The sequence below is a fragment of the Homo sapiens genome, chromosome 16, assembly GCF_000001405.40.
Source record: "Homo sapiens chromosome 16, GRCh38.p14 Primary Assembly".
In the NCBI taxonomy this organism is placed as follows: domain Eukaryota; kingdom Metazoa; phylum Chordata; class Mammalia; order Primates; family Hominidae; genus Homo; species Homo sapiens.
The window spans coordinates 67,757,832-67,771,606 of NC_000016.10; the positions used below are offsets into that span (position 1 = coordinate 67,757,832).

At 48.8% G+C, this 13,775-nt stretch overlaps 1 protein-coding gene across 7 annotated transcripts in view; it reads right to left on the minus strand.

Moving 5' to 3' along the window:
• The window catches only part of RANBP10 (RAN binding protein 10), an 83,491-nt gene that overhangs the window by 34,762 nt on the left and 34,954 nt on the right, over window positions 1-13,775 (minus strand). The window contains exons 4-6 of one of the 7 annotated variants that reach the window (NM_001320240.2): window positions 5,522-5,668; window positions 4,608-4,753; window positions 1,742-1,901 (exon numbers count right to left, since the gene is read on the minus strand). The exons of 5 other annotated variants lie outside the window; for them this stretch is intronic. The gene's annotated coding sequence lies outside the window, so the exon portion shown is untranslated. Of the gene's footprint in view, window positions 1-1,741; window positions 1,902-4,607; window positions 4,754-5,521; window positions 5,669-13,775 lie in introns of those variants that run through there. One more of the 7 variants, XM_047434409.1, reaches the window with a different exon arrangement.

The following is a 13,775-nucleotide window of genomic DNA, read 5'->3' on the forward strand; positions in this document are numbered from 1 at the left end:
ACTGCAGGTAGGAAGGTCTGGCAGTGCCCTGGGTGCAGGGTCTTCTCTTCATGGTAGCTCAGCATGGAAGCCATGGTAAAGGGGGCAGGAGAAAAAGGCTACCTCTACAGGTAGATGATGATACCAGGGGCTGACACCAAGTGGGGCATGCCTTCCCATGGGCACCTAGGCCCTCCACTGAGATAGGACCCAGGTGTCAGCTTGAAGTCATGGGCAGGGCAAGGAACAATACAGCTAGCACCTGCAGAAAAAGGGGCCTTGCACAGATCACACCCTCCCCACTCAGAAGAAGTAGATTCCTGATGGCCAGGAACGGCCCAGGGGGGCCAGGCTGGGTCTAGCTGGGTCTGGATAGGACATGGCTCAGATGGCATCTGGTCCATCTGGCAGCACTACCTGCCAACACCTTGTCCCGACAGGACAAGCTGGCTCTGTAACCCATACTGAACTAGGAAAGGTGTTGCAGTATCCTGCAAAACTGAGGTGCAACATCAGCTTGCCAGGCTAGGTGTCTCTCTTCTAGGGCTGGGTTTAGCTTTTGCTTGTTTCCCCGAGCTCCTTTTGAGCCTCCTGGGAAAGTCATTGGATGGGTGACCTATGGTAACATATGCCTGTGGCTCTGCGTACATCGTTGGGTCCTGAGCGACGGCCAACCCCTTCTCGAAAGGAGCTCCCGGAGTGGCATCCCCACATTCCCAGGGTCTCGGGATACAGATCCTCTGCTGGCACTAGGAAGGCAGGGGACTGAATGGGAACTGGTCTCCGCTCTGCTTCACCCTAATGTGGCCTCAGCCTCACCCAGTACAATTGAGAATCTCTGTTTTCAGACACTGACAAACTCAGGTTTCAGAACTGGCCCTCTGCTGTCGATGAAACCTTTTCTATCAAAGGACTTAACTTGCCCTGAAAAATCCAGTCTTAGAATGTTTACTTCTGTGAGAGAGGCTGGGGGCTAGTATTTGGAAGACGAAAACAGGACAGTATAGAGGAGGAATCCCATGCCCAGAATAAGACTTTTTAGGTCTGGCTGAGCTGCCTCGCTTGAAAAGGCTGCTGAGCAGCCCTGGTGTGCCGGGGTGATACAGGTCTCCTGTGGGTCAGGGAGGAGGCCCACAGAAAAGGAACACGCACTTGCTGGCCATAGGGCCGAGGGTGCTGCCAGCCCAGGGAGGAGTGGCAGGGAAGCAGAGAGCAAATTATCTGAAACAAGCTTCTCAGCATGGACCACAGCGTCCTGCAGCACTTACACCATTAGCCACCGCTTGAATCACCAGCTAAGTACCTCTGGGGCCCAAATACCAAACCACCCTCTGTTCTGGACGGCCCTGGAAAACCTGTTGCTGCTCAGAACTACAAGGCCTGGGACGTCTACTCCTTCACTCCCATCTAGGCCATGTGCCAGGGGTCTCTCGGAACGAGAAACAACAGAATGAGAAAGGCAGAGAGGGGCAAGGCAGCACCAGGTACACAAACCCAACCTATCTTCCCACAGCCCTGGTGCTGAACAGCTGCTCCAGCTAATTCAGAGACCCTCCTGTGTCATGAGCCCTTTTCCAGGCAGGGCTGCCTGGAGGCACCCTATAGGCTTGAACTACAGGGTGACAATCAGTTGGTTTCTTCCCCCTACCAGCCTCAGTCAGGCACCGGCTGACAGAGTGCCCAATCATGCCAGGGGAGCAGAGGCTTGTTCCCAGAAGGAGTGACACCCAGAAGCATAGTGGGCCCTGATGGCTCAACTCACCCAGCTCGGAAGAAGCATGGCTTCCCTCACAGAGGGACCTGGCTGCCCCACAGCAGACCCCTGTGAAGTACTGTAGATCCCAAGGTGAAAGATGCTCCAGAGAGAGGTGGTGTTAATGGTGGACACTGCAGGGACTGTCAGCTGTAACATGGGTCCCAGGCTATATGGAACAGGAAAGAAGTGGTGCCTATTTGGCAGGTATAGACAAACAGCATTTCCAGACTACTAGAAACTCACCTACGTCAGGGCCGGGCAAGGTGGCTCACGCCTGTAATCCCAGCACTTTGGGAGGCTGAGGTGGGCGGATCACGAGGTCAGGAGATCGAGACCACCCTGGCTAACACAGTGAAACCCCATCTCTACTAAAAATACAAAAAATTAGCTGGGTGTGGTGGCAGGCGCCTGTAGTCCCAGCTACTCGGGACGCTGAAGCAGGGGAATGGCGTGAACCCAGGAGGCAGAGCTTGCACTGAGCCAAGATCATGCCACTGCACTCCAGCCTAGGTGACAGAGCGAGACTCCGTCTCAAAAAAAAAAAAAAAGAAAAAAGAAACCCATCTACATGCCAATAATCTCTAAGACAGCAACCGCACAAAGCCACCTGCTACTGGTATTTGCTCAAAACAGAGACATCTTTCACTGGATGTGCTGTACTCTTAGGAGGACAGGGAGGAACGATATCAAACACCTTGTTATTTCTTTTCATTGCTTGCCACTCAGGCAGGGACTAGCCTCTGCCCTTGTGAACCTGGCACAGACCCCTGGTGTTCTGCCCTGATCTCTGCTATCAGTGGTTCCTCTTCCATGGCACACGCAGATGTGAAATATCAGCTGTTTGCAGAACGTGTCCTACCCAGCAGAAGCAGCTTCCTGTTGGGCCTATGCCTCTAACAGCTCACTCAGAGCAAGCCTGGTAAGGTAAGCTCTAGGGGAAGGAAAGATGCTCACTTGATCAGGACCATCCTGTGGAAGCAAAGCAGACAGCCCCTACCTCTCCTCCCACAAAGGCCAGGGCCTGGTTGCCAGGCACCACATGTTTCAGGAGGTATGTCCCCTATCCCCAATCCCTGCTGTAGTTCTTCCAGCTATTCCTTTTCCAACAGTTACAGTCAAGGAAAGTATGCTTCAACGGGCCTGATGCTGCTTTGAGGCATTGTAGTAACTACGGTAATGTATGTCACACCGAGCGAACAGCTGCCTGCACTACAGAAATGGCAAGGAGGAAATTATCAACTACCCAGCTCTGATGCAGCTGGGCCTCCTATCAACACAGCCTGAGTCTCCCTGGCTCTGGCTGAGGCACAAGACACAGAAGCAAGATTTGTCTTTCTCCCACCCCCTTAAAGTGCCAAGCCTGGGAGACGCCCAAACCCCACTCTCTCCATCAACAACCCTGACTTCGTCTTCTTGCTTCCCCAGTCCAGTACCCTGGCCTCTGCCCTTCCCTGCCAGCTCACCGACACCAGGGTGGGGCTGCAGTTGGATTCACCTGCCCTGCTTCCGAGTCATTTAGCCAAGAGTTCTGACATTTTTATTTTGGGGCCACACCCGTTCCTTGGTTTCACACCTAAGAAGGCCAAAAAACACCTTGCAAAAGATAAACATCAAAACTTCCACATCTTCCAGCAGAAACCTCTGACCATGCAAACTAAGACATGCCCATAGGCTCCCAGGAAAGTCTGAGCACCACAGCCTCACTGGAGAGGGACTTTCTGTTATCATCTGCCCCAGGTTCCAAGCAAGACCCCAGGGTGTCTGCCCTCTGCGTCTAACAGCTCTACTGGCAAAGATGTCCTTGCTGAGCCAGTGCAACCTACAAGAAAACACTCAAAACATCAACATCTTGACTTTGATTGCTGTGCCATCTTTTTCTATAATTTGACTACAGCTACCGTACTAAACACGCCTATTCAAACACAGAAGACCAAGCACTTGAGAGAAAAGGTAGTTTCAATGATACCTAACTCCACTCTAACACATAAACATTTATATATTTTTTATTTTTTATTTTTTTTGAGACAGAGTCTCACTTTGTCACCCAGGCTGGAGTGCAGTGGCACGATCTTGGCTCACTGCAACCTCCACGTCCTGGGTTCAAGCAATTCTCCTGCCTCAGCCTCCTGAGTAGCTGGGACTACAGGCGCATACCACCACATCCAGCTAATTTTTTATATCTTTGGTAGAGACGGGGTTTTACCACATTGGCCAGACTGGTCTCGAACTCCTGACCTCAAGTGATCTGCCCGCCTCGGCCTCTCAAAGTGCTGGAGTTATAGGCGTAAGCCACCGTGCCCGGACATACATAAACATTTATAAAAGAACTTTAAATATATAGGTACTTCCTTCTTCAGGTAGAAAAAAAAAACACACACCTTTTCCCAATAATAAGAATAGCTAATACAGCTGAGCATAGTGGCTCACACCTGTAATCCCAACATTTTGGGAGGCCAAAGGAGGAGGACTGCTTGAGGCCAGGAGTTCAAGATCAGCCTGGGCAACATAGCAAGACCCCATCTCTAAATAAAAAACAAACAAACAAAAATTAGCCAGATGTGGTGGTTGTGTGCCTGTAGTTCCAGCTACTCGGGAAGCTGAGGCAAGAAAATCACTTGAGCCCAGGAGTCTGAGGTTACAAGGGAGCTATGATCATGCTACTGTACTCCAGCCTGGGCAACAGAGTGAGATCCCAATCTCTAAAAAGTAAGAATAACTAATATTTATGTACCCCTTTTCTGTGTCAGGCACTAGTCTAAGCATGTTACAGGAATTAACTCAATCCTCATAACCATCCTATATATGAGTTAGATACTAGTATCACTTTCATTTACAGAGGGGGAAAATGAGGCAGAGCAGTAAAGTAACTCACTCCAGGTAACACAGCCGCCAGGATGCAAATGCAGGTGGTATAGCTCCAGAATCCATGCTCTGCTCCACCAGCTGACCACAGCCCTTGATGTCTATTTCCCCATATGACCAAATGTGAGTCAGGAGTGGATTCAATGACACTTAGTCCTGACATACAGAAAAGGGAGCAGTCACTACTCCTCCAGGTAGAAAGTGGTAGCAGAGCCCCTACACACAATCAGTGCCATAATGATTAGGGCAGTGGGGTGAGGCTGAGCTCCAAATGACAGCTTCAAGCTCTAGGCAGGCCGCAGGCTGATGGAGCCTGATGCAATTTACTGAAGCCCAACACACTTAGGCAAAGCACAGCAAAATGCAGAAACAACTCATCCCAAAGCCCAAGTGCATGATGCCAGGTGCTGTGCTCACTATGGGGGAGTCCCAAGGAGCTCACAATCCAGTGAGGACACTCTGGGTAAATGTGAAAGACACACACCAGGCAGGGTGGCAAGTGTCATCCCAGACATGGTCAGGGCTGAAGGGGTCAGACAAGGTTGAGTGGGGATCAAGGAGGAAGGGCAGTCCCAGGGCAAGAAGGACATCTGCCAAGGGGCAGAGCAGGGAGTGTCAGCAGCATGTTTGGCACCCTACACAGCCATGCTGGTGTGTGGCATGTGCAGAGGGCAGAGGTATAGGAAAATGAGGCTGAGCAGGAGACTGTCCACTGGGCAGAGGAGTCAGAGGCCCAAAGCAGGGAAGGGGCACAGTGCATACAGAGAGGAGAGCAGAGGCCTGTGGCGCAGATCATGGAAACTGCCAGTGGAGAGGCCATGGCAATGGGGCGGAGACAGAAGCCAGATTAAAGAGATATCTGTGGAGCAGCAGAACCACGGCTGAGGGAGAGGGAGGACATGAGATTACTCTGAGGAGTCCCACCTGGGGGCCAAGGTGGACAGTGGCTGTCAGCAGAGATGGGGAACACACGAGGATCCGGTTTTTGCAGGAAAATAACCCCAGTCTGGGGCAAGTGGGTTCACCTCTGTTGGACCTGGAGCAAAGAACTCAGGTTTCTGGAAGTGGGATCTGCTCAAGGGCAGGGTGCAATGAGCGGAGTGGCTTGAATACTCCTGCTGAGGGCACCAGCTGCCCCTTCCCTGCTTTCTCAGGGTCTGGCAAAGCACAGCCATCATTCATAGGCCTCACAAGTCTTCTGGGTCCCTCAAGGAAGGTGAGTCCTGTCCCTACCACCCCCATAACCCACTTCACTCAGGTATCTGATTATTTGTTTGTTTGTTTGAGACAGAGTCTCACTCTGTTGCCCAGGCTGGAGTGCAGTGGCTCCATCTTGGCTCACTGCAACCTCCGCCTCCTGGGTTCAAGCGATTCTCCTGCCTCAGCCTCCCGAGTAGCTAGGACTGTAGGCGCACGCCACCACGCCCGGCTAATTTTTTTGTACATTTAGAAGAGACAGGGTTTCACCATGTTGGCCAGGCTAGTCTTGAACTTCTGACCTCAAATGATTCTCCTGCCTCGGCCGCCCAAAGTGCTGGGATTACAGGCATGAGCCACTGCGTCCAACCAAGTACTGGATATTTTAATCAGGAACTAGACCCAAGAGGAACAGAGAAAAGAGCAGTCCAATGTACAGGTGGAAATCAGGGAGATGCAGATTATCCTCTATATTCAAGAAACACTTACTTCAGAGAGAAAGAGGCAGAGGCTCTCTCAGGCCAGTCTCATCAGTTCTTGTTGGTTTCAAACACTCAACCAGATCAGGTCCCAGAAGAAAAGGGGCTTAGTTCCACACTTGGGCCTCTCCTTCGTCCCAAGCCTCTCTTCCGAGGGCTCATAAAAGGCTAAAGACCAAGTACTTCTAAGACAGCAGCGGCTGGGCAGGCCAAGGGTAGAATTTCTAAGTTAACCTCTTTTCTTGGGCTGACTCAGATAAGGGCCGCTTAACTCACATCCTGCCCACTTGCTCCTAACAACACTGAGACTCAGTATCTAAAATGGCCATTGTACCGAGAAGCCAGAACAGAGAAAAAAATAGTAATAAAATGGCCATTGCCAGGCCATTTTATTAATAAAAGCATTCTTAAAACAAATTATCAGGAACACTCTAGAGGCACACTCCTCGTAGCTTGCAGTCTAATAATCTACTGTGAAGACACCAAGTCCAGCTGAATCACCTCCCATAGGGCTTGTCAATCCTGTCACAGTGAGCTATGATCGTGCCACTGTACCCCAGCATGGGGGACAGAGTGAGATCCTGTCTATAAATTAAATAAAGCAATGTAAAAATAAACAGACATATGTCATTTCTGGTTCGGAAGACTAAATTTTCAGTAAGATTGAGGTTTCCCATACTAATCCATAGATTTTATGCAACACATTATCAATCTGAAATGCCAGTAGAACATTTTGGAACATTTAATAAAAGTCTGATTGATAAGGCCATCAAAGAAACAGGCATGTTGCTAATGAAATCCAAAAACAGTCTAGTCCAATAAAATGTAACGGCTATAAACTTGAACATCTTAACTATATTAAAACATTAACACTCCTCATAAATAGTACGAGAAGCAAAAACAAGAACTTTGCACAAAGATGTGTAAGTACCGGTCAAAACAGCAAACTTAGATGGGCATAGTGGCTCATGCCTGTAAACCCAGCACTTTGGGAGGCTGAGGCAGGAGAATCACTTGCCCAGGAGGCGGAGGTTGCACTGAGCCAAGATTGCACCACTGCACTCCAACCTGGGTGACAGAGCAAGACTCCATCTCAAAAAAAAAAAAAAAAAAAAAAAAAAAAACATTAAAAAATAAATTAGCCAGGTGCAGTAGCTCACACCTGTAATCCCAGCACTTTAGGAGGCCAAGGCAGGTGAATCACCTGAGGCTGGGAGTTCGAGACCAGCCTGACCAACATGGAGAAACCCTGTCTTTACTAAAAATACAAAATTAGCTGGGCGTGGTGGTGCGTGCTTGTAATCCCAGCCACTCGGGAGGCTGAGGCAGGAGAATCGCTTGAACCCGGGAGGCGAAGGTTGCCGATGAGCCGAGATTGTGCCATTGCACTCCAGCTTGGGCAACAAGAGCAAAACTCCATCTCAAAAAAATAAATAAATAAATTAGTCGGGGCTGGGTGCAGTGGCTCACGCCTGTAGTCCCAGCACTTTGAGAGGCTGAGGTGGGCGGATCACGAGGTCAGGAGATCGAGACCATCCTGGCTAACACGGTGAGACCCCATCTCTACTAAAAATACAAAAAAGTAGCCAGGTGTGGTGGTGGGCGCCTGTAGTCTCAGCTACTCGAGAGGCTGAGGCAGGAGAATGGCGTGAACCCAGGAGGCGGAGCTTGCAGTGAGCCGAGATCGCGCCACTGCATTCCAGCCTGGGGAACACAGCAAGACTCCATCTAAATAAATAAATTATAATAAATAAATAAATAAGTCAGACATGGTGGCATGTGCCTGTAGTACCAGCTACTTGGGAGGCTGAGGTGGAAGGAGCACTCGGCCCAGGAGGTTGAGGCTGCAGTGAGCTGTGACTGTGCCACTGCACTAGTCTGGGAGACAGAGTAAGACCCTGTCTCAGATAAATAAATAAATAAACAAACACCAAAGTCTCAAAATCTGGACCCAGCCTAGGCCACCACCACTACTGCCTCCTACCAACCACACATCTGAACCATCCAATTGACCTGCATCTCAACGAAGAGCCTCTTGGAAATCAGCAGCGGCTGGCAGAAAGGCTTTAGCTGCTGTCGTCTTCCATCCCACCTCCCCACCAAAATACCAGGACCTTCATCTCTGTTTATGAATGATGATGCTTTCGGTTTTGCAAAATGTATGCTCATCACCAGAAATAAAAAAGTGATCCCAGAAACTGGAAAGCACCAAAAGGGATTCCGACTTCAAAACCCAGTACTGCAATGAATAACGGCAAGCTGATACAGTTTGGATGTTTGTCCCCTCCAAATCTCCTGTTGAAATGTGATTCTCAATGATGGAATGGAGCCTGGTGGGTGGGAGGTGTTTGGGTTACACTAGCATTCCTCATGAATGGCTTGGTGCCCTCCCAGCGGTAATTAGTTCACATGAGATCTGGTTGTTTGAAAAGGAGTCTGGTACCCCCCGCCCCCACACTGCTCTCTCTAGCCATGTGATATACCAGCTCCCCTTCCATTCCACCATAATTTTAAGCTTCCATAGGCCCTCACCAGAAGCAGATGCTGGAGCTAGGCATGTACAGCCCTGAATCATGAGCCAAATAAAACTCTTTTCTTTATAAATGATCCAGCCTCAGGTATTCCTTGACAGGAACACAAACTAACAAAAAGGCCCACTATCACCCCTGAGAGGGGTGCCCTTTACTCCATCCTCCCACCTGCCCTGTACTGGATCTGACCGGACATTCAGCTAGCCCTGTATTCTGGAAAAGCCAGGGGCATCCATCCTTCCCAGGGAGAAGTGGTATCTAGATGCAATCTGATTCCTCCTTTCCACCTTAAAGACAATCAGGGAGATGATCAGATATGGCAGGAAGGAAAACCCTGAGGAGTTGGCAGGCAGAGTGAAACAAAGACAAGTGCAATATCCACTGAACAGTTAGGCCCCTTTCCCTTGCCAAAGAGAAGTGCACCCATGAGGAAAATAGATTTTCCTACAGCTTTGTATTAGCAATGTCAAAGGACATGACCAGTAGCTGGCTTCAGACCAGCCCAGAGAGGTTAAGTCTCATATTGTGAAAAAGAGAAACAGACTAGGCTGGCTCCATATGGTCCCATCTCAAAGAGACTCAGATCAGCCCAGCAGACTCTGAACACCTCTCACCTCGTCTACTCCACTCCATGGATCTCAAACTCAATGGGTGACACAAAAACAGTTTTTACTAGGCAGGCATGGTGGTATACACCTGTAGTCCCAGCTACTTGGGAGGCTGAGGCAGGAAGATCATTTGAGCCTATGAATTCAGGGCTGCAGTGAGCCGTGACCACTCCACTATACTCCAAGCTGGGCAACAGCGAGACCCTGTTTCAAAAAAAAAAAAAAAAAAAAAAAAAAGCCAGGCACTGTAACTCGCGCCTATAATCCCAGTACTTTAGGAGGCCTAGATGAGAGGATTGCTTGAGCCCAGGAGTTAGAGACCTGCCTGGGCAACACAGGGAGACCTTGTCTCTACAATTTTTTTTTTTTTTGAGACGGCGTCTCGCTCTTTCACCCAGGCTGGAGTGCTAGGGCGCTACCTCAGCTCACTGCAAGCTCTGTCTCCCAGGTTCACGCCATTCTCCTGCCTCAGCCTCTCGAGTAGCTGGGAGTACAGGCGCCCACCACCGCGCCCGGCTAATTTTTTGTATTTTTAGTAGAGATGGGATTTCACCGTGTTAGCCAGGATGGTCTTGATCTCCTGACCTTGTGATCCACCCGCCTTGGCCTCCCAAAGTGATGGGATTACAGGCATGAGCCACCGCGCCCTGCCTCTACAAGAAAATTTTAAAAATTAACCAGGCATGGTGGTGTGCACCTGTAGTCCCAGCTACTCAGGAGACTAAGGTGAGAGGATCACTTAAGCCTGGGAGGTCAAAGTTGCAGTGAACCATATCATGTCACTGAACCCCAGCCTGGGCAACAGGGCAAGACCTTGTCTCAAAAAAAAAAAAAAAGGTTTTTATTAAAGAAAAAAGAACATACGGCTAGGCATGATGACTCATACTTGTAATCCCAGCACTTTGGGAGGCCGAGATGAGTGGACTGCTTGAGCTCACTTCAAGACTAGCCTGGGCAACATGGCAAAACCCTGTCTCTACAAAAAATACAAAAACGGCCGGGCGTGGTGCCTCACGTTGTAATCTTACTACTTTGGGAGGCTGAGGCAGGCAGACTGACTGAGCTCAGGAGTTCAAGACCAGCCTGGGCAACATGGCGAAACCCCATCTCTACTAAAAATACAAAAAATTAGCCAGGCGTGGTGGTGTGCGCCTGTAATCCCAACTACTGGGGAGGCTGAGGCACGAGAATAGCTTGAACCCGGGAGGTGGAGGTTGCGGTGAGCCGAGATCGTGCCAGTTCACTAAAGCCTGGGTGACAGAGTGAGACTCTGTCTCAAAAAAAATAAAAATAAAAATAAAAATAAAAATAAAAATACAAAAACTAGCTGAGCATGGTGGCATGTGCCGGTAGTCCCAGCTACTTCGGGGGCTGAGGCAGGAGAATCGCTTCAGCCTGCAAGGTTGAGGCTGCAGTGAGCCATGTTTGCACCACTGCACTCCAGCCTGGGCAACAAAGTGAGACCCTGTCTTTAAATAAAAAAAGAACATATGAAGCAAAGGATACTAAGTCCAACACATGGCGTAACAGACCACATCCTAAGACTACCTAAAAGACAAACATGAGGATTTCCTGATACAGGGCCATTTGCTTTGGTTTATTTTGTTTTAATTACATTTATATTTTTAAAACAGATAACATATTCACAAGAAAGAAAATTCCAAAGGCTTGTGAGTGAAAATTTTTCTTTCTCAGTCCTGGCTCCCGCCACCCATCCCTTCCCAAGGAACAGCAAATATTACAAGTTTTTCTGTAGCTTTCCAAAGATGATCTATACATATACAAGTAAATACAGATATGTTTGTTTTCTCTTTTTTTTGCACATTTGGTAGCACATCATATATTTCCATGCTTTATATTTTTAATTTCCCAATATATCCTACAGATGATTCCAAATTGGTACCTAAAGAGTCCCCGGCCAGGAGCAGTGGCTCATGCCTGTAATCTCAGCACTTTGGGAGGCCGAGATGGGTGGACTGCTTGAGCTCAGGAGTTCTAGACGAGTCTGGGCAACCTGGTGAAACCCTGTCTTTATTAAAAATACAAAAAAACTAGCTGGGCGTGGTGGCATGTACTTATAGTCCCAGCTACTTAGGAGGCTGAGATGGGAGGATCGCTTGAGCCCAGCAGGTTAAGACTGCAGTGAGCAGTGTTTGTGCCACTGCACTCCACCCTGGGAAACGAAGCAAGACCCTGTCTCAAAAAAAAAAAAAAAAAAAGTGCTGGGCGCAGTGGCTCACGCCTGTAATCCCAGCACTTTGGGAGGCCAAGTCAGGCGGACCACGAGGTTAAGAGATCGAAACCAGCCTGGCTAACATGGTGAAACCCCGTTTCTATTAAAAATACAAAAAAATGAGCCGGGCGTGGTGGCAGGCACCTGTAATCCCAGCTACTCCGGAGGCTGAGGCAGGAGAACGGCACCAACCCAGGAGGCAGAGCTTGCAGTGAGCCGAGATCTCGCCACTGCACTCCAGCCTGGGCGAAAGAGCAAGACTCCGTCTCAAAAAAAAAAAAAAAAAAAAAAAAAAAAAAAGAGTCCTTACCAGGCAGGCTGGCTCATGCCAGTAATCCTAATACTTTGGGAGACTGAGGCAGAAGGACTGCTTGAACGCAGCAGCTTGAGACCAGCTGGGGCAATGCGGTGAGACCCCGCCTCTACAAAAAATGAAAAATTAGCTGGGTATGGTAGCTTGTATCTGTAGTGCCAGCTAAAGGGGAGAATGAGGTGGGAGAATCACTTGAGCATGGAAGGTCAAGACTGCAGTGAGCCATGATCATGCCACTGCACTCCAGCCTGGGCAGCAGAATGAGACCTTGTCTCCAAAAACAAAACAAAAAAAAGCTCATAAAAGTCTCTTTTCTCCACTACCAACTCAGTGCAAAAGTTGAAAGAGCACACCTAGAACAAACAAACAAAATTAAGAATCAGTTTGCACTTGACAGGAAATTATTTTTCCTGTACATTAAGAGGTAGAGCTACAGATACTACAGCTACAACTACTTAGCCAAGGCCAGATGCTCATATAACAAAGAACACAGCCACACAGTATGCAAAGAAAACTGCCACACACGTTCTGATTAACAATGAAAAACCAGTTTTCACTCAGATCAATCAAAGGGGGAAAAAAGTAAGATTCCTGACAATTAGTTGAATCCTAAGCATCCTAGATTGAAAGTATTAGAAATCAGTCTACTAGAAAAAAATCAGTGATTCACATTAAACATTGATTAGAAAAGACGTAAGGTCTGAGTGTAACTCCCTGTTTGGGGAAAGCCAGCTGCCTTCTCTGTGTCATAGGCACAAAGAGCAGGAGGCCAAGAAAAAAACACAAGGACTTTTCCTGACCCCATGACGTGTCAGGGAAGCCTGGATCATGTCACTTCTGCTGATTCAAGGGACCAATGGACTTAAGACCATTTTCTGGAACCCATCAGTTCACGGCAGAAGCTCTGTCTCCCCAGTTGCAGCCAGTCCAGGTCTAGGTATGAGCTGCTGGGCAGAAAATAGCTGAAATTAGCCAGGTGTGGTAGCACATGCCTATAAATTAGCCAGGTGTGGTAGCACATGCCTATAATCCCAGCCACTTGAGGGGCTGAGGTGGGAGGAGAACTTGAGCCCAGAAGGTTGAGCCAACCAGAAGGTTGAGAAGGTGGTGCCAAGATCGCGCCACTACACTCCAGCCTGGGTGAAAAGCGAGACCCTGTCTCAAAAGAAAAATAATAGATGATAAAAATAAGGCTGGGTGCAGTGGCTCACGCCTGTTATCCCAACACTTAGGGAGGCCAAGGCAGGCTGATGGCTTGAGCCCAGGAGTTCAAGACCAGCCTGGGCAATGGCAGAACTCTGTCTCTACAGAAATTACAAAAAATTAGCTGGACATGGTGATGAGCTCCTGTGGTCCCAGCTACTAGGAAGGCTGAGGATCACCTGAGTCTGGGAGGTCGAGGCTGCAGTAAACTGTGACTGAGCCACTGCACTCCAGCCTGGGTTACAGAGTGAGACCCTGTCTCAAATATATATATAAATAAAAAATAAAGAAAAGAAATTGCTTCAATCACATTCCACGTGGGAGGTCACTTAAAAACTTTGATCTTTTTTATTTATTTTATTTTTTTTTTTGAGACGGAATCTCACCCTGTTGCTCAGGCTGGAGTGCAGTGGCGCAATCTCAGCTCACTGCAACCTCCACCTCCCGGGTTCAAGCGATTCTCCTGCCTCTGCCTCCCAAGTAGCTGAGACTACAGGTGTGTGCCACCACACCCGACTAATTTTTTATTTTTAGTAGAGACAGGGTTTCACCATGTTGGCCAGGCTGGTCTCGAACTCCTGACCTCAGGTGATCCATCCACCTCGGCCTCCCAA